At 44.2% G+C, this 20029-nt stretch overlaps 1 protein-coding gene across 17 annotated transcripts in view, besides 1 other annotated feature; it reads left to right on the plus strand.

Moving 5' to 3' along the window:
* STARD9 (StAR related lipid transfer domain containing 9) overlaps nt 1-20029 on the plus strand; it is a 145393-nt gene that overhangs the window by 83652 nt on the left and 41712 nt on the right. For 10 of the 17 annotated variants that reach the window (XM_011521831.4, NM_020759.3, XM_011521833.3 and 7 more), the window contains 11 exons: nt 1901-1968; nt 3537-3634; nt 4024-4233; nt 4563-4660; nt 5996-6073; nt 6529-6591; nt 9901-10080; nt 15183-15234; nt 15570-15707; nt 16407-16489; nt 16615-16718. In XM_011521831.4, the coding sequence (XP_011520133.1) occupies nt 1901-1968; nt 3537-3634; nt 4024-4233; nt 4563-4660; nt 5996-6073; nt 6529-6591; nt 9901-10080; nt 15183-15234; nt 15570-15707; nt 16407-16489; nt 16615-16718 (1172 nt within the window). The remainder of the gene's footprint in view (nt 1-1900; nt 1969-3536; nt 3635-4023; nt 4234-4562; nt 4661-5995; nt 6074-6528; nt 6592-9900; nt 10081-15182; nt 15235-15569; nt 15708-16406; nt 16490-16614; nt 16719-20029) is intronic. The other 7 variants (XM_017022439.3, XM_047432901.1, XM_017022442.1 and 4 more) reach the window with 4 other exon arrangements.
* Nucleotides 6506-7078: an enhancer, noted in NCBI's record as "NANOG hESC enhancer chr15:42957961-42958533 (GRCh37/hg19 assembly coordinates)". NCBI's record gives its function as "activates a minimal SCP1, AML or CMV promoter by ChIP-STARR-seq in naive H9 embryonic stem cells {active_cell/tissue: H9 hESC(naive)}" and the evidence as "EXISTENCE:reporter gene assay evidence [ECO:0000049][PMID:30033119]".

Raw genomic sequence — 20029 nt, forward strand, 5'->3', positions numbered from 1 at the left:
ATGGCAAAAATTTTGAACTGACATTTCACTAAACAAAATATGCTAGTGACAATTAGGGAGTTGAAAAAATTCTCAACATCCTTGTTCATTAGGGAAATACAAATTAGAACCAAATGAGATACCACTACCCACCTTTTAACATGGCTAAAATTATACTAAATATCAGCAAGTTGTGTAGGAGCAGGAGTTTTCATACACTGCTCTGCTGGTGGGAATGTAAATGGTATAGCAACTTTGGAAAAGAGTTTATCAGGGTTTTCTTTGTTTGTTTTTGTTTTGTTTGTTTGTGATGGAGTCTCACTCTGTTGCCCAGGCTGGAGGGGCAGTGGCGCGATCTTGGCTCACTGCAGCCTCTGCCTCCTGGCTTCATGCCATTTTCCTCCTCAGCCTCCTGAGTAGCTGGGACTACAGGTGCCCGCCACCACGCTTGGCTAATTTTTGTATTTTTAGTAGAGACGAGGTTTCACCATTTTGGCCAGGAAGGTCTCAATTTCCTGACCTCATGATCCACCTGCCTCCACCTCCCAAAGTGCTGGGATTACAGGGGTGAGTCATCATGCCCAGCCTAGCAGTTTCTTAAAATGTATACCTACCATATGACCCAGCAATTCTACTCTTAGGTGTTTATCCAAGAGCAATGTCCACAGAAAGATGTGCACAAATATCCATAACTGTTATTTGTAATTACCCCAAAATAGAAACAACCTGCACATCCATCAAAAGGCAAATGGATAACTGTGGTATATCCACACAATGGAATAATAGCAGTAAAAATGAATGAACTTTTGATGCATGCCTTAACATGGATAAATCTCAAAATAATTATGTACAGTGAAAAGAGCTAGATGTACGATTCTATTTATATGAAACATTCTGAAAAGGTAGACTTACAGACATAGAAAGTTAAGTGATTGCTTCAAGCTGGGGATGGGAACAGAATGACTGCAAAGACTTGAGGGATTTGGGGATTATTTGAAATGTCCTAAAACTACATTCGGTTGATGATGTATGATATTAACAATTTCTGGTCGGTGCAGTGGCTCATGCCTGTAATCCCATCACTTTGGGAGGCCGAGGCAGGCAGATCACCTGAGGTCAGGAGTTCAAGACCAGCCTGGCCAACATGGTGAAACCCTGTCTCTGCTAAAAATACAAAATTAGCCAGGCCTGGTGGTGCATGCCTGTAATCTCAGCTACTTGGGAGGCCGAGGCAGGAGAATCACTTGAACTTGGGAGGCCAGAGGTTGCAGTGGGCCGAGATCGTGCCATTGCACTCCAGCCTGGGTAACAAGAGCAAAACTCCGGCTCAAAAAAAAAACAGACAAACAAAAAAAAAAAAACAAGAAACAAAAATTAACAATTTCTAAAACAAAATAACAAAACCGACATTGAATCGGGGTTGGGGGCAGAGTAGTTTCTTCTTGGGGGCTGGATGGCGCTAAATAGAACTTACAGGGCAGAGTTTCTACCCTGGCAAGTTAAGGTGCTGTGACTGAGGTTAGGAAGAGACCATCAGAGGCCACCCACATGCTGTGGCTCTCTGCTAATAAGAGTCAGAGCCCCCTGGGAGGGAGTTGAGCATTTGCGTGGTAAATTGTACTGAAATTTCCTGATGCCACTGAAAGTTGTGCTCAGCAAACTTCATGGAAGTTTATGTACTTAGTCTGTAAGTTCTGCTGGTGTTTTTTGTTTTGTTTTTTTTTTTTGAAGTGATGATCCAGGGCCCTATTGATTTTATCTGTCAGATATTGAGAGCTCACCTGGTTTACATCACATTAGAATACAGATTTGTTGAGTGAATTGGATAAAAATCCAAAATATCACCTTGGTTAGAAGAGTTCTAAGGGGAAAACAATACAAATCGTTCCAAATGACAGGCTTTAAATGTTTTCTCCTCTAGGCAATCCTGGAGAACAACCTCCCTTCTGAAATGGCTAGCAAGATCAACCTTGTGGACCTAGCAGGCAGGTAATTAGGATTTTAAAGCTAAGGGGAATTACTCTTGTTCTTGCCTGTTTTACAGGGAATAAGCTGTTCCAATCTTTTTCACATTTCAGTCATCCTGAGAGTATTACAAAAGAAATAAGCTCTTTGAATGCTAGGTTAAGAAGTTATTTTCTAGGGGCCGAAAAGTTCCTCTACATCAGGGATTCTCAATCTTGGTTGTACATTAAATCACCTGAGGACCTTTTCTTTTTTTGAGACAGTCTTACTCTGTTGCCCAGGCTCCAGGCTGGAGTGCAGTAGTATGATCATGGCTCATTGTAACCCTGAACTACTGGGCTCAAGTGACCCTCCTGCCTCAGCCTCTGGAGTAGCTGGGACTACAGGCACGTGACACCACATCTGGCTTTCTTTCTTTCTTTCTTTCTTTTTTTTAATGGAGACAACATCTCATTATGTTGCCCTGGCTGGCCTCGCACTCCTGGCCTTGGGCGATTCATCTGCCTCAGTCTCCCAAAGTGCTGGGATTACAAGCGTGAGCCACTGCACCTGGCCACCTGAGGACCTTTTAAAACTCCCCATACCTACATCTCAGATCAATCAGATTATTAGGAGGTTGGTGGGAGTGCAAGCATCAGGATATTGTTAAAGCTGCCCAGGTGATTCTAATGTATAGGAAGGATTAAAAAACCACTGCTCTCAGTGAAGGTAACTGAATTAGTACAACTTTTCTCTTTGATTTAATATTGATTTTATTTTTTCTTTAATATTGATTTTTATGCAGTTCTTTACTTAAAAAAAAAGTTTTACTTTGTGGTGCACATCTGTAGTCCCAGCTATTCAGGAGGCTGAGGTGGGAGGATCACTTGAGCCCAGGAGTTTGAAGCCATCCTGGGCAACATAACAACATAGCTCAACCCTATCTCTAAAGAAAAAAAGTTTAAAAAATCTTGAAAGGTTGAGAAGATACTGCCTTGTAGGTATTAGAAGGGAGCATGAATTATAGTTACATATGTATTTAGAAAGAGGTAGTCTTGAGGGGGATAATGTGATCACAAGAAAGGGTAAGATGAAATAAGGCAAATTTTCTTATTTTAAAACATAATATGGTACAGTATTCCCTTAAGAACTAAGTGCTGTTTGAAAGGAACTATTATCAGCCAATTGGAAGTGTGAATTTTTAATATTTCCCATTTACTTAAAAAAGAAATTCAAACTGTTGTCAGCTAACGGCACAAATACCATAAAACTATAAATATAGGAATTTAAAACAATAGAGAAGTGAATATACCAAAAAGCCGTGCTAATATCATTACTGTAAATGAGCATTACATTTAGCATAAAGTGTTCTGACAGTCAAAATAAAAACAGAAACATAATGAGTTATTTGATTTTTATTGCCTGAGAAGCAGAAAAAGTCCAGTTCATTACAAAATGGTAACATTTTCTTCTGGAACTGAATTCTAAAAGGAATTTATTATGTGAGTCCTTTACAGCATGATATACAGAATAACGGATAGTATTTTTCAACAGCATTGTAAAGATAGTGTCTTATTTGCTTTTGTTTTTGTTTTTCATTGACTGTGTTTTAGCGAAAGAGCAGATCCCAGTTACTGTAAGGACCGCATTGCTGAAGGAGCCAATATCAACAAGTCCCTTGTGACTCTAGGAATTGTCATCTCCACCTTAGGTATTTTCTGATAGATAATGGGAGTGGGAGGGAGAGTTCGGAAAATAACTCATGTTTTCATTTTGTCGCAATAGGGTAGACACAGGGTTCCTTTTGATAAGGTTACCTTCTGGTTTGGGGCATGAAAAGTTGATATTTGTCCTTGGTTTTAGAGTAGAATGCTGTCCTACTACCATCATTTCTCAAAGAGGGGAGTCTAAAAAATTATGTGACTCAAACATTCCATATCGTGAGTCTAAAGTCTTTAGGAATACCTAAAATATCCTATTGTATGCAGAAGGGATTAGGAAATATGATACTTAAGTCTGTGTTCTCCAACCATTGTTTTGTTTTAATATATTTGCTTCATAATTCCTTCTTTCTTCCATTTTCTTTTTTCATCTTTTAAGCCCAGAACTCCCAAGTTTTCAGCAGCTGCCAGAGCCTCAACAGCTCAGTCAGCAATGGTGGTGACAGTGGGATCCTTAGCTCTCCTTCTGGGACCAGCAGTGGAGGGGCACCCTCCCGAAGGCAGTCTTATATCCCATACCGAGACTCTGTGTTGACCTGGCTGCTGAAGGACAGCCTTGGAGGCAACTCTAAAACCATCATGGTTGCCAGTGAGTGGGATGCCAGAGCTGGACCTGTGTTGGGACTGGTACTCTATCTCAGAGAAAGGGCCATGGCCCCAGTGAGTGGGATGCCAGAGCTGGATCTGTGTTGGGACTGGTACTCTATCTCAGAGAAAGGGCCATGGCCCCAGTGAGTGGGATGCCAGAGCTGGATCTGTGTTGGGACTGGTACTCTATCTCAGAGAAAGGGCCATGACCACCTAGGTTTCTCATTTCATCAGGGGTCTTATACAGCATGGGCAGTAGTAACAAGGCAAGTGATTAAGAGCTGGGATGGATGGGCTGGCATGTTTTTAAACTTTCTCCTTCTACCTCAGCGGTGTCTCCTGCACACACTAGCTACAGTGAGACCATGAGCACACTGAGATATGCATCCAGTGCCAAAAACATTATCAACAAGCCACGAGTAAATGAGGTGAGACCTTTTCAGAAGTCCTGGTCTGGTATAGTTTACACAAAGCTTTCCTTATTTTTTTTTCTCTCGTGATTTCTTTCTCTTTGTACTCACCTCAACTTTCCAGACTTGTCCTCCAGATGATGAGGGAGTAGAATTCTTTCTTGTACTGTCATCTCCTTCTTTCCTATCTCTACTGCCTTCATTCAGTAACCTTTTATGAATGACTTATTTCAGATACTTCTCTAAGGCCATTCCTCTTAAGATTTCTTAGTTTACCATTACTACTCTAAGAAAGGTCATTTATTTTTTATTTTATTATTTTATTTTTAGAGACAGGGTCTCACTCTGTCACCCAGGCTGGAGCGCAGTGGTGCAATAATGGCTCACTCTAAGAAAGTTCATTTAAAAAGTTTGTGTTTACTGCTTTTATTTTGAATTTATGTTGATTTATTCCTGTGTTTTTGTATTTGTTTGCCTGTTTTGAGAAGGGGTCTTGCTCTGTTGCCCAGGCTGGAGTGCAGCAGCACTATTGTGGCTCACTGCAGCTTCAACCTCCAGGGCTTAAGTGATTCTCCCACCTCAGCCTTCTGAGTAGCTGGAACCACAGGTGCCTGCCACCATGTTAGGCTGGTTTTCAAAAAAATTTTTGTAGAAACAAGGTCCCACAATATTGCCCAGGCTGGTCTCAAACTCCTGGACTCAAATGATCCTCCTACCTCAGCCTCCCAAAGTGCTGGGGTTACAGGTGTGGGCCAAAGTGCCCAGTCTTATGCCTGTGTTTTTTTATGCAAGTAGTCTGTGTTTTATTTTTCTCTATGCAAATTGCAGTGACTTCTCTGTTTAGATTAAAAGGAGAGTGTATGAATTCATTGGTTTTTGTTTATCCTTTAACACACACACACACACACACACACACACACACACACCCCATACGTACACTGTTTTAAAAAGGCAATGTAATTAGGCAGTATAGGCTTAGTCACAATACAGGAAGGTTAGTACCTACTACCTATACATGCCCTGGCTTTTGTGTTACCTGCTTGACCTCTAGGGAAATGATTCTCAAACTTTAGTGTGTATCCGAATCACCTGGAGGGTTTGTTAGAATGCTGCTGGGCCCCAGTCCTTCAGAGTTTCTGATTTATTTGGTCTGGGGTGGGCCAAACTGTGCGTTTCTAACAAGTTCTTAGGTGAAGTGGGTGCTGCGGGTCCTGGGACCACAACTTGAGAATGACTGCTGTAGAGACTACTCCAAAGGAGTAATCTACCTCTTCCCAGCCAATTGCAACTAGCATTTCACAGCTGAGTGGGACTTGATAACAATCAGTGGTGATGGAGTTCTCTGTGTTTCAGGATGCAAACTTAAAACTGATTAGAGAACTCAGAGAAGAGATTGAAAGACTGAAAGCCCTGCTGCTGAGCTTTGAACTGGTATGCAGACAGTCAGAACCTTTCCGTACTTAAGTGAAATTCTCCTTCTGAGCCTCTTTTCTTCTCCATAGAGTCTGGGCCCTGCTGCATTCTATGTTCTCAATTGACTCTCTTACGGCAGAGACAGGAGCAAAGACAAAACAGAGATTTCTCTGATTTCTCAGTGTAGCTTCAGATGGTGTGGGCATTTTTTCACTTTATCATCTCTTGTCTTGTGCCTGGATGGTCCTTGCCCTGTGTGGGCAGGTACGGAGAATGGGGCCCTCCAGGAAAATTTCTTTGTATTTTCCATCTTTGTACCAATATGAGCCCAAATACTTAGGCTCCTGATTTCTTATTTTAATAATAAAGTTTTTCCTTTATCTGCATCTTATCCTCCTCCACAAGTGTAAGGGTGGGACCTACCTGAAGTTCAGACCAGGAAAATATCAAAGCACATCTCTATCTTTGTGCAGAGAAACTTCAGTTCATTGAGTGATGAAAACCTGAAGGAGCTGGTTCTCCAAAATGAATTGAAGGTGGGTGTGTTGGGTGGACTCAGTTGTTCTTTACATCACCTGGGAGCTCCTCCATTATTCCGGAGCTAGGTAGGGTTGCTCCCTTGGCAGGGCAGAGAAGAGCTGTCTCATTTAAATACAATGTTTGTTTCCTTTAAGCCTTGACCGGGGGATGTGTTTGCCTAGGGGGACTGTTAATGGCTTTCTGACTTTCTGTATTGTTCTCTCAGGGATTCGTAAGTCCTTTGGATAGTGAGAGTAGCCTGGGGGCAAAAGACTGTTTTCTTGTCTAAATCAGTCAACCAAGATGTATTCATTGTTTGAGGATCAAATAGGTGCTCAGCATGATGCTGCAAGAGGTACAGAGAGGTCCCTGCCCTCATATGGTTTGCAGTCTAGTTGGAAACACATTTAGAGAATGGTGTGTTTCATGAACCATGTGATTTAGCTGAAAGAGTCTAGGGAAGGAAGAAATCATTATGGTTTGGGATTTTCAGAGCAGATATCATATGTTGGTGCTGGAAGGCAGAGAACTGACCTTGAACTAGCCCTTGAAGGTTTGCTAGGGTTGTTACATAGGGAGAAGGGGTAAGGCATTGGGTGAGGGAGGGATAACATAAGCAAAGCCTTGAAACTGGGAGAAGGAAGGGGTGTGAGAGGCCATGTGGAAGCACACACCGTGAGGAAGACTAAGCTGGTTAGAATGGGTGTTCATGGTAGAGGGTAGTGCAGGTAAGGTTAGGGCACATTTAGAAGGTTTGAACTTGGTGTAAACAGGATTAATAGCTTCTTGAATCAGGTTGGTGACATAATAAAGGAGTATCTTTGGAAAATTAATATGATAGTTGTATGCAGGATGAATTGAAAGGTGGGAAGACTGGAAGCAGGGGACTAACCAGGAAAGAGACTGCTGTAACCCCGTGAGGGCAAGGACAAGACATTTTGGAAAAGTAGAATAAATGGTGATTCCCAGAGACATTTTTTTTTATTAATTTTATTTTTTTTGAGAGGGAGTCTCACTCTGTCACCCAGGCTGGAGTGCAGCGTTGTGATCTCAGCTCACTGCAACCTCCGCCTTCCAGGTTCAAGTGATTCTCCTGCCTAAGCCTCCTGAGTAGCTGGGACTACAGATGTGCACCACCACACCTGCCTAATTTCTGCGTTTTTAGTAGAGACGGGGTTTCACCACATTGGCCAGGCTGGTGTCAAACTCCTGGCCTCAGGTAATCCACCCGCCTTGGCCTCCCAAAGTGCTGGGATTACAGGCATGAACCACTGTACCTGGCCCCCAGAGATATTTAAAAGGAAGAAATGGTGGGCAGTTTTTTTTGTTGACGGATTAGATTTATTTTTATTTTTTTATGTTATTTTTTTTGAAACGGAGTCTCACCCTGTCACCCAGGCTGGAGTGCAATGGTGCGATCTCAGCTCACTGCAACCTCTGCCTCCCAGGTTCAAGCAATTCTCCTGCCTCAGCCTCCTAAGTAGCTGGGATTACAGGCTCACGCCACCACGCCCGACTAATTTTTGTATCTTTAGTAGAGATGGGGTTTCACCGTGTTGGCCAGGCTGGTCTCAAACTCCTGACCTCGTGATCCACCCACCTCGGCCTCTCAAAGTGCTGGGATTACAGGCGTGAGCCACCGCACTTGGCCTATTTTTTATTATTTTGGGACAGAGTTTCGCTCTTGTCATCCAGGCTGGAGTGCAATGGTGTAATCTCGGCTCGCTGTAACCTCTGCCTGCTGGGTTCAAGCAATTCTCCAGCCTCAGCCTCCCAAGTTGGGATTACAGGCACCCACTGCCACGCCAGGCTAATTTTTTGTATTTTCAGTAGAGAGGGGTTTCACCATGTTGGCCAGGCTGGTCTTAAACTCCTGATCTCAGGTGATCCGCTTACCTCAGCCTCCCAAAGTGCTGGGATTACAGGCGTGAGCCACCACACCCGGCAGACAGGTTAGATTTAAATCCTACAACCAAACGTTTCAATTTCCAATATTCTGTTGCATCATCCTTATATGTTATTAAAGTATCCTGGCCATGTTAACATTTTGTCACCCTTAGTAAACCTCAAGACTAAATCACACGTCTAGAAGTTTCTCTAAAAAATTCCTCCTTCAGTCATGTATTCTGATTTTTTGTTCAGAAAATATCATCCCTCTATACTAAGAGATGAAGTAGTGGAGCCAAAATCATTCCAAACTCATTAGCATTCTTGCATTATGCAGGCCAGCTGAGCTGGACTTGAACCTGCCCCTTGTTGGCTGTATGATCTTAGGCAGTGTAGGAGTAGGTGGTGAAAGCTGGCCAGAGGGGCAGCTGTGCCAGGTTGGCTGAACTGTAAGCCAGAGTGTCCTGCCACTCACCAATGCCAGGGGTCCCTATCCAACCCAGCCCTTTACAGGTACCCTGTAGTTTCCTGGTTTCCAAACTTCAACTCAATGATTATTAAAATAATGTTTCTAGGGTACATAAAGCACTTGTACCTAAACCTGGCATAATTTTTTTTAACTATTCCCTTTATGAGAGAAGCACTTAGCTAAATCTAATTTTTTTTTTTTTTTCTGAGCTTCCTCAGTTCTTCCATTCCCAGGATAAGCTCAATGCTTAGGCATCGGTTTCCACTAAAAGAAGAAAAAGTACCCTACATTTATCACTGTGCATGTCCCTAAAGTGGTCTTAGCTTAAGGCCTCTAAGGCTGGGTACATTTACTTTTAAAAACTCTGTTCCTGGTACACAGTAAGAACTCAGTATTCTACTGTTATTATTGTTTTTATTGTCTTATTACATGATCTTCCAGACAAGTTCCATATAGTCTTAGTTCCACCTGGGGAGATTCCTCTCAGTGCTTTGTGGTTCTGTGAGCCGTGTGCAAGCTTATATTATAACTCAAAGTACTGTACTTTGGGAAAGAAGTGTGTAGGTCATAAAAGGGTTCCCAAGTATGGATCATGTAAAACTGGGGTGGGGAAAGGGAAATTATAAACATAGATGTCTAACATCCCAATTAATTTTTAAAGAATAACTTGAAAATAACATGTTTTTTTCTAATTATAAAAACAATACATGTTCATTGCAGAAAACTTTAAAAATAACATTTATTGAGGGGGCTTCTGTTTATACAAGTAACACTTGCTTATTGAAGAAAACTTGGAAAACACAGCTTGCAGTTGGAGGAGGTACAAGGGCTTCTGTGGGGCTTTGAATAGTATCTGGGAGGATCATAAGAAAGCAGTACCCTGGGGAAATAGGAATAGATTGTAATGACTTCTGACCTTTAGTCTGTTCCCCATGCTGAGTGTCTCAGATCACCTCCTATACCTCTGCAGATAGACCAGCTGACTAAAGACTGGACCCAGAAGTGGAATGATTGGCAGGCCCTCATGGAGCATTACAGTGTGGACATCAACAGGAGGAGGGCTGGGGTGGTCATCGACTCCAGCCTGCCACACTTGATGGCCTTGGAGGATGATGTGCTCAGCACAGGTGTTGTGCTCTATCATCTCAAGGTGAGGAGGCTAGTGTATCCTTTTCTTCCTAAGCCACTGGTTCCAGAGGTCAAGGAGGGAAAAGCTAGGAGCAGCAGCCATGTTACTGTGAATTGAAATCAAGACAGATGCTACAGAGCTGCCTTCAGGTTTGCTCTCAGGAAACGTCTACCTGACAAATTGTGATCTGTTTTGCCTTCGTATGTATAGAGCAGAAGACTGGAAATCAGAACAATTGTTTTTCAACTGCTGCTACTGTTGTTCTTATGTAACTTACTTTTGTTCTCTTTGCCTTAATTTCCTCATTTTAAAGTAAGAATGATGCTTATCATATTCCTTTTCTGGCTTAGTGAAGCATAGGGGTATAGTCATGGAGAGTGAAACCCTAACCTCAAGATAACCATTAGTGCTCCTAAACTCTACAAATACAGACTGCTCAAAGGTGGCTTTCAGGTTGGGCGCGGTGGCTCACACCTGTAATCTCAGCACTTTGGGAGGCTGAGGCGGGCAGATCACTTGAGGTCAGGAGTTCAAGACCATCCTGGCCAACATGGTGAAACCCCACCTCTACTAAAAATACAAAAGTTAGCCGGGCGTGGTGGTGGGAGCCTGTAATCCCAGCTACTTGGGAGGCTGAGGCAGGAGAATCACTTGAACCCAGGAGGTGGAGGTTGCAGTGAGCTGAGATCACGCCACTGCGCTCCAGCCTGGGTGACAAAGTAAGACTCTGTCTCAAAAATAAATAAATAAAATAAATAAAAATAATGTTTTTAAAAAAAGGTGGCTTTCAGAGACTAAAGGGAATTCAGAAGATTTGAAAGTTTTCTTCTGACACTTCCCCACTTCATTCAACCCCAAATAAACAGTACACTTCCCACTTCTCCATCACTACATTTACCTGGAAAAGGAGACAGAGAAAGTAGGTAAAGGAAGCTTAAAACATAGGGAGGGTCCAAAGAGCTAGAGTAGTGTGATGGTGGGGGAAGAGGGGATGACAGGCATCCATCTAGAAAAAGATTAAAGTTAAAGCTTCCAAACAGCACCTGGCCCACCTGGCTCTGTGTCACCTGGAGGCCAGTCCTCATTTCTGATTGAAGTGGTTTTGAGAGTTAGTGACCTATGGTAGATAGAGTCTTTTATCTTGTTCTCATCAATGTGTTCTACTGTGGGAGGACAGTTCCTTTTGACAGCAGAACGTACTTCCCATGCTCAAAATCCCTGTGCTCACTGAAAATCTAGTTTTCATTCTCATAATTATCCCCAGCTGACGTTTAAAAAGAACAAAGAGTTTCTGGGGAGTATGTAATGCTGCTGTTATCCCTGGAGAAATTGGACTCCTTCTTAGTGCTGCAGGGCATATGGAAGTGAGATGTTAGCAAAGCTCATCGGTGTTCTTAGGATAAGCCCTTTGGGAAGTTGTCAGAGACTGAGCTGCTCAGACAGAAAATTTAAAGTAGCTTATTTTCTGGTATACAGGGTATAAATTTTCTTAGTGAAAGTGCCTGAGGCAGAAGTGGCTGGCAACTTTTACCTTAGCAAGAAAACTAAACACCAAATGGCTGTATAGATCCTCCCATTAGTCAGAAGCACAGAGAGAGGTTGGAGGTCAGGAAGAGACCAGATTGATTAAAATGGTCACTATTTGAGTAGAACTGATCTGATATATGGATTGGATGTAGAGTGAATAGATGAAGCTAGAAATCAAGTAGTAGAGCTTAGGGTCGCAGCAGAGGGTTAAAGGACATGACTATTAGATTGAATCGTAGACATGGAGATGAATGATGAACTCATCTGAAGATAGGATTGCTGATTTTTTTTTTTTTTTTTTTTTTTTGAGACGGAGTCTTGCTGTGTCACCCAGGCTGGAGTGCAGTGGCGCGATCTTAGCTCACTGCAACCTCAACCTCCTGGGCTCAAGTGATTCTCCTGCCTAAGCCTCCTGCATAGCTGGGATTACAGGCATGCACCACTGTTGGGAATAATGCTTAAAATTTTAAGGAAATTGAACACTTAAAGGATTTTTAGTAAAGCAATTTTACTTTTGTGCAGAGGGGTGCTTCTCCTTGGCCAGTTGCCATGAGAACACATCTGAACAAAGGGGCATGAGAGCCTTTATTTCTGACACAAGTCCTGCTCCTGTACCCTTTCTCCTTCCCCATTGGCTGGGGTTGGGTCGTACATTCTAAACTAATCCTGGTTGGCTAAACATCTGAACCTTTTTGGATAAGGTGGGCACATAAGGGAGAGGGGGGAAGGGGTGTCTGCAATGAGCTAGAGAGCTAGTTTTTTTTTAAATAAGGAAAGGAATGTGAGCTGGTACTGATAACGCTGGTACTGTGGCATGTCTGGGCATGTAATAAAGGCAGAAAGGAAGAAAAAAGAGAAAAAGGAAAAAAAGGGGTGGGGGGTTACTATGAATTGAAGAATAAAGGATTGATCAGGCTATTTGAAGAGAAACTTCATCATATCCCACAACCACCATGCCCGGCTAATTTTTGTGTTTTTAGTAGAGACGGGGATTCACCATGTTGGCCAGGCTGGTCTTGAATTCCTAACCTCAAGTGATCCACCCATCTTGGTCTCCTAAAGTTCTGGGACTACAGGCATGAGCCCTCACGCCCCGCTGGACTGCTGATTTTCATTGCTTAGTCAGTGCATAGTGAGGATTTTACTCCCTTCCTTGTGCATTTCTGGTGGACCTGGGTGATGAGATTTTAATCTACTTCTAATCCTGGCATTTCTGCATTTTATGTACTTTCCCCACCTTTTGTTTGTTTAGCTATTGACTTAGGTAATAGTACTAACAGTAATGGCCCAAGATTCTGTTTGTTGTTGTTTGTTTGTTGGTTTGTTTGTCACTAAGTTGGTTACAGACCTAGAACTAGTCCCTGGCAACTCGGAAGCTGTTTTTTCCTGGGTCACCTTGGGGAAGTGTCTTGGGTGGGAAGAGGACAGAGGGAAGGACAGGGAGAGCCCAGGTTACTGATATGCTGGACTTCATCCTCATAATTGCCTTTGTGCCACTAACACTCCCTACATAAAGAGGCAGGGTGGGCAGTGAACACATATGCCAGCCAGCTCAGTCCTCATCTGACATGCCATCACCTTTTGTTGGTAATTTCTACCCTGCAAATCTAGAAGTTATGATGTGCCATAGCCTTTATCTTTTTGGAAGGGCTGTCCCTGAACGCACATGAAAAGTTTCGACCGTTTTCCCTTGAACTGCCCTCTGATTCTGTTTGACAGTGTTTGTGGAGGCTAGCATCTGTTGACTTCTGTGGTCCTCAGTGCCTGAGCAGGAAAGGCTGGCTCTGGCTGTTTGTGTGTTTGCAGAGAGGAGGGACAGAGGGGCATGCAGTGCGGACAGAGCCTCATTCATTATAGCTAGGATTCTTCCTTCTCGCAAGCTATTTTGGAGGAGTGTCAGGGACCTCCCTGCTCTGGCTGCTGACAGTGAAGCCTAGTGGGGAATTCTCTGGTCTCCCTAAAAACATTACTGGGCCAGATGTGGTGGCTCATGCCTATAATCCCAGCACTTTGGGAGGCTGAGGTAGGCAGATCACCTGAGGTGAGGAGTTCGAGACAACCCTGGACAACATGGCGAAACCCTGTCTCTACTAAAAATACAAAAATTAGCCGGGCATGGTGGCACGTGCCCGTATTCCCAGCTACTCGGAAGGCTGAGGCAGGAGAATCGCTTGAACCTGGGAGGCAGAGGTTGCGGTGAGCCAAGATCGTGCCACTGCACTCCAGCCTGGGTAACAGAGTGAGACTCCATCTCAAAAAAAAAAAAAAAAATTACTGGTTGGGTGCGGTGGCTCACGCTTATAATCCCAGCACTTTGGGAGGCCAAGGCTAGCGGATCGCCTGAGGTCAGGAGTTCAAGACAAGCCTGGCCAACATGGTGAAACCCTGTCTCTACTAAAAATATAAAAATTAGCTGGGCGTGGTGGCAGGCACCTGTAGTCCCAGCTAGTTGGGAGGCTGAGGCAAGGGAATTGCTTGAACCTGGGAGGCGAAGGTTGCAGTGAGCTGAGATTGCACCACTGTACTCCAGCCTGGGCATCAAAGTGAGACTCTGTCTCAAAAAAAACAAAACAAAATAAACAAAAAGACATTCATTACTGGGGAGGTGTTATGAAGTCGAAAAAGCTGCAGGGGCTTAGGATCCAGAGAGACCTGATTTCTAGTTATAGCTCTTCTATTTGGTATGTGGGTTTCTCAGGCAGTTTATCCCCTGTGAGCTTCAGATTCCTCATCAATAAAAAGGAGATGTTAATACCTGTATTTTGAGTTGTTAAAGGATAAAGTAATATGATTTGTATAAAGTACTCAGCATAATGCCTAGGACATATTGAATAGTCAATAAATGATAAAGATATGTCTAAAATTTAGCATCCCGGTTGCCATGTTGCTGCCTTTTCCTAACATAGCTATGTGGGTCTTAAGCAAATTTGCCATAATCTGAGGTCTAAAAGGCCTTGTCTTCAACTAATCCACTGATTCATTTGTACTAACTCCAGTTTCCCCCTCCTCTCTTACACTCTCTTCCAGTTCTTTTTTATTCTAGAGGTGCTTTTCTCCTATTTGTGCTTTTACCCTTCTTAGAATCTGGTGTCTGTTAAACTTCATCTGCGGACCAAGAAGGTAAAAATCCTGTGTTTCCATAAATCTTCACAAAATGCTTGTTTGATTGAGACTTACTGGATCAAACTTGGACCACATCAACCTTTGCCCCTTAGGGAAAAGCCATACTTTTGCATGTACTTTCTCGGACTAGAGAATTTTTCTGACCAATGGCTGTAACTATTCCCTAACTTTAGGCTGTGGGACAGAAAGGAGTTTGCCCACACTTGCTGGACTTTGCAAATAGCTTGGGCTGCTTTGTGGTATATTTTTTAGCTCTACCATCTCAGGGGCTTCCTGGGCTGTAGAGTGAGTGGGCAGAGGGTCAGAACAGCCGGGACCAAAGTTGAGAAGTGGTACCGACCAGGCTGGGATGGGATGAGAAGTGGTACAGATGAGGCTGGGAAGACAGTGAGAATATTCTAATGTGGACTCTCCTGTAGGGCAAGGCTCTGTCCCTTTTAATTCTCATTAAAATGGCTTTTTTCCCCCTTTAGGAAGGGACAACAAAAATAGGAAGGATTGACTCAGACCAGGAACAGGACATTGGTAAGTGGCAGAGTATATGAGTCCAGCATTTTGGGGCTAGTATTTGTGCCCGAAAGGTTTCTTCGAGGACTTTGATGATGCTCTGAGAAGAAGGGAATCATTGGCGTATTCAGGGCCTGCTTCTCTTTCTGCTGCTAGGTTTCAGGTCTGGGACGTCACAGGGGGAGACCCACGCAGTGGGAGGATTTCAGGTCTGGGTGGTTTCAGGTCAGCTCTTCCTCTTTTATTATGGTATGAGGTCTTCCAGATTTTGGATTCTGATCTCACAGAAAGAAATGGAGAGGGTGTTTCCCTGCATCGTCCTCCCACCCAAGTGACCACCACCTCTTTTGTAGTCCTGCAGGGTCAGTGGATTGAGAGAGACCACTGCACTATCACCAGTGCCTGTGGTGTAGTTGTTCTACGACCTGCCCGTGGGGCCCGCTGTACAGTCAATGGCCGGGAGGTCACTGCCTCCTGCCGTCTGACTCAAGGTAGGACTGTCTGTAGCCCTGTTTATCCCAAGATGAGTGATGGACCAGCTCCAGTTTCATGGGCCCAAAGAGCTCAGTGAAGCAGGCTTTAAAAATGGATCACCCAGCCTCTGCACCCTGAAGTCTGAAGATTTTCTAATATGATCCTATTCCCATAAACAAGCCTTAATTCCAAAGTCTTGGAGTGAAGAATGACTGTATGAAATTTGTACCTGTGTTAATTAGCTCTGTCTCCCTAGGAAAGTCTCTGAGCCTCAACTTTCCTCATCTATAAAATGGGGATAATAATAGAATCATTGTGAGGATTGAATGAACCTTATAGTTCTTAACAGTGTGCTTTGCACTCTGTAAACACTCATTATCATTATTACTTTAATTACCGCTACTGTTATTAATCTATGCAAATTCTGTCTGTTCTTTTGAGACTGAGCTGAGATTCCTCCTCTTCCATCAAGTGTTCCCTGACTACTCCACCTGGAACTCAACTTCCTTTCCCTTGGAATAGTAGAGTTCTTCCTGTCTGTCTTATTAATTCAAGATGTATGCTGTGAGATGCAGAATTAATATGTATCTTATCAACTCAGCAAAATTATCAGTTATCGAGGGCATGACTTTGTCTCACAGAGCAGTGCCGTACACATAGTATGTACTCCAAAACATGAGCTGTTGATTGAATTCTCATTTGTCTCTGTGCTGCAGGAGCTGTCATAACCCTGGGGAAGGCACAGAAGTTCCGATTCAACCACCCAGCAGAGGCTGCTGTCCTGCGGCAGCGAAGGCAGGTTAGCAGGGCTGTGTTTTCTAGGTTATTGCTGGCCTCCCTGTTTCCACCTTTTAGATGAAAAGCCAAGCTGGGAGAGGTGGAGGCGATGACAGCAGCCTCACTGTGCTTTCTTCCTTGTTCAAGGTTGGAGAGGCTGCTGCTGGTCGTGGCTCGTTGGAGTGGCTGGATTTGGATGGAGATCTCGCTGCCTCCCGGCTGGGTCTCTCCCCTTTGCTTTGGAAGGAAAGGTAAGAAATAGCTGCTTATACTGATGTGGAACCTACTGGGTTCGCTTCTTAGTCCATGACAGCATGGATCAGGGTGGGGGTGGGGGGTGATTAATGTAGCAGCCAAGGTCTGAATGAGCCCTTGTCTGAATCAACTTGGGCAAGTCATTTGATGATGCTGAACTAGCTGCTAAGTTCGTAGTTGGCAGGGAATTGGTCTTGGCCCTTGTTCATTTCCTCTTTGGTATTTCGACTTTTTTCATCACTGAAAGAGGTACATTATTTGATGTTCCTGTGGCCACTTTTCTCTCTCCACAAAATTTAGCTGTGCTGTGTTTGTGGACATCTTTGTTCTGAGCTTACCTTCCCATATACTCCTTTAAGTTCTGGCCTGTGTGTGAGCTCATAGTATATGTCACGTAGTGTATGTGAGCTCATAGCTTCCAGAACGTATGGCTTTCTCTGAGTTTTTAAAGATAGTGTGTGACTGAGAAGGCTTTCTTTCTCATAACCAAGAATCCAGAACTGTGCATAGAGGGGCAGAAACTATAGGAACAATATGAAAATATCTTTTGGTTCTACCCTCTCATACCCACTTTGCCTGCATTGTAACTATGAAACATTGAGTCAGAGTTTTATATGGGATTGATGGCAACTACTTTTCTACTTCATACTTCATCCGTTTCTACATAAAACACCCTTCCCAGATCCAGAAGCCTTGCAGATTTGGTACTGGGAGTCCTTCTATTCCTGTACGTCAAAGTGACCTCTGCCTTAGAGATTTCCTTTAGAAAATTTCAGCAGGGGACTTGGTGCCTGTGACATCACTGGTGTTGGGAGGCTGCCAAACACCTTGAGCACAGGGTCTCAGTAGTTATGATGGCCCGTAGTTTCTTCAGAAGGATCCAGCAGTTCTTTCCTCAGGCCAGCAGCATTTGATGGCAGATGAAGACAATCTTATGTCTGACCTTGGCAGTGAGGAATGTTGGATACAGGAGCAGAAGTGCTCTGATCAGGGCTGGGCACGGTGGCTCCTGCCTGTAATCCCAGCACTTTGGGAGGCCGAGGTGGGTGGATCACAAGGTTAGGAGATCAAGACCATCCTGGCTAACATGGTGAAACCCCGTCTCTACTTAAAAAAAAAAAAAAAAAAAAAAAAAAAAGCTGGGCATGGTAGCACATGCCTGTAGTCCTAGCCACTCAGGAGGCTGAGGCAGGAGAATCACTTGAACCCAGGAGGCAGAGGTTGCAGTGAGCCGACATTGCGCCACTGCACTCCAGCCTGGGCGACAGGGCGAGACTCCGTCTCAAAAAAAGAAAAACAAACAATGCTGTGATTCAGGAAAGCATGAACAGCAGGCAAGTCCTCATAGGAGAGCTGCTGAGTGAAGGATGCTACAACAGAAATTGCGTGAAGGATGATCCTAGTGTTGAGTAACTGAGAGCTCTATGGGATGGAGAATAAGGTAGAAGAGGTGACACAAGGTGGACTCAGGACTTAGGCTGGAGCTTTTGCTTTGTCAGAGTGACTTTCCTTTTTTGTAGTGAAGTCATGAAAGTAGCTCCTGTTTTAGGTAAGGTTTGTGTTGGGAAGACTCTTTGAAGATCTGTTTTTCCCAGAGTTCAGAGGTTTACAGAAAATAACACTGCAACTTAAATAGCTGAGAATGGAAGAGATGCATTGCAGCAGACAAAACCGATTCACGTCCTGGCTGTACTGCAGAAAAGCTGTGTGACCTTAGGCAAGTCAATGAACCTCTGAGCCTGTTTCCCTACCTCTAAAGAGACGATACTGCTATCTGTTTTCCAGGGATGATTGAAAGAGCGAGTATATATGCACGGTGCAGACACACCCCACAGCCCCTATTGCTGCCAGCAAGGCTGCCTCCCTTTCTCTTTCTTGTCCTCCTGTCTCAACCCAGCTGACCTATCCACCCCAGAGTACATCATGGTGTTGTGCTCTTCTCTTGCCTTTTTAAAGTCTTCTATGGCTCTCTAGCCCCACAGGCACTGACATGAGCTTTCAGACACACAAGAATGTGTCCTTTCATTCAGAGAAGACAGGAATTTCAGAATCAAGGCCTCTCCCACCCACTGTCTCCACTCTTGAGCACCAGCTCTAGGAGCCTGTAGGCTGGGCTGGTCCTGCCCAGCTACTGTAGCCAGCATCTGTACCAATCCCTGGTGGAGGTGGTGTGGTGTGGTGCTCAAGTCCGTGATTGGGCAAAGGGACCAGGGAGAGGAACCTGCACGACTAGAGAAAAATATAAATTGTCAGCTGGGCTCCCAGTCTGGATTTGTGGTTGTGTGTCTACGAGTCTCTCCCTCTGCTCTTGGATGTGGTTGGCTCCAAAGCCTCCCTTTATTCCAGGTTTCCTTTCCCTCATTTATCTCTGGAGCAGCATTCATGAGGAGCCTGCAAAGCTGGAGCTAGCTCCAGAGCCAGGGGAAATTGGCCAGTCTGCCTTCCTTTTCTCCTTGCAGCAGTAATCTGGACCAGAGGGGAATTTGTCTTTGAATACCATTGCCTGTGTTCTTGGCATTTTCCCATTTGGAATTGTAGGGGGTTAACCTTAAGTGCCTAGAGCCTGGGAGACACTGTTGCTGCTTCCGCTGCCACCACCGCTGCCACTGCGGCTTTAGTAAGTAGATGCCACTGCAATCTGCTGCAGAAGCTGCCAGACCCCGAGGCTGGGGGACAGCTGTGAGAGAAGAAGCAGGAGAGTGCAGTGGAGTCCTCACAAGCAGGTGTCTAGGCAGCAGCTGGGGGATACTGGAGCCATCAGAGATGAAGGGCAATTACCTGATAAAGACAGAGGTCCCTTGGCTGGCAGGTAAATGAAGACTTGCCCTTTGTAATCTAGCCAGACATGTAGTATAAGGTTGCTATTTTCTTTTTCACCTGCTTTCTGGGAACTTGACAAAATGTGCTTAGCAGAGGGACCATTCTGTGCGGCCTCTTGGGTGAATGTGCTGCATCTATACAGATGGCAGCAGACAGCCTCTCCTTGCAGGTCCTATGGCTATGCAGGAAACAATATCATAGCTGTCACTTTCTTAGGTGAAGGGTAAGGAGCACCCCTTCTAGGGAGAAGCAGATTGTAAATCTGAAGGTTGAGGAGAAAGCCAGACAAGGAGACTGAGTAATCTCAGGGAGTTCAGATAAAGACCCTGTCTCAGCCTCTTGCATCTGGTGGTCTGTGGGTCTTAGCTGGGTTTGTCTAGGATGGGCTCATGTTTGTAATTCAGCCATTTCTATAGTCAGACAAAATTTGGAGCAGTAATACAAGCATGATACATATGGATGTATGTTTCCTGTTAACTGCTTTCTC

The sequence above is a fragment of the Homo sapiens genome, chromosome 15 (assembly GCF_000001405.40).
Source record: "Homo sapiens chromosome 15, GRCh38.p14 Primary Assembly".
In the NCBI taxonomy this organism is placed as follows: domain Eukaryota; kingdom Metazoa; phylum Chordata; class Mammalia; order Primates; family Hominidae; genus Homo; species Homo sapiens.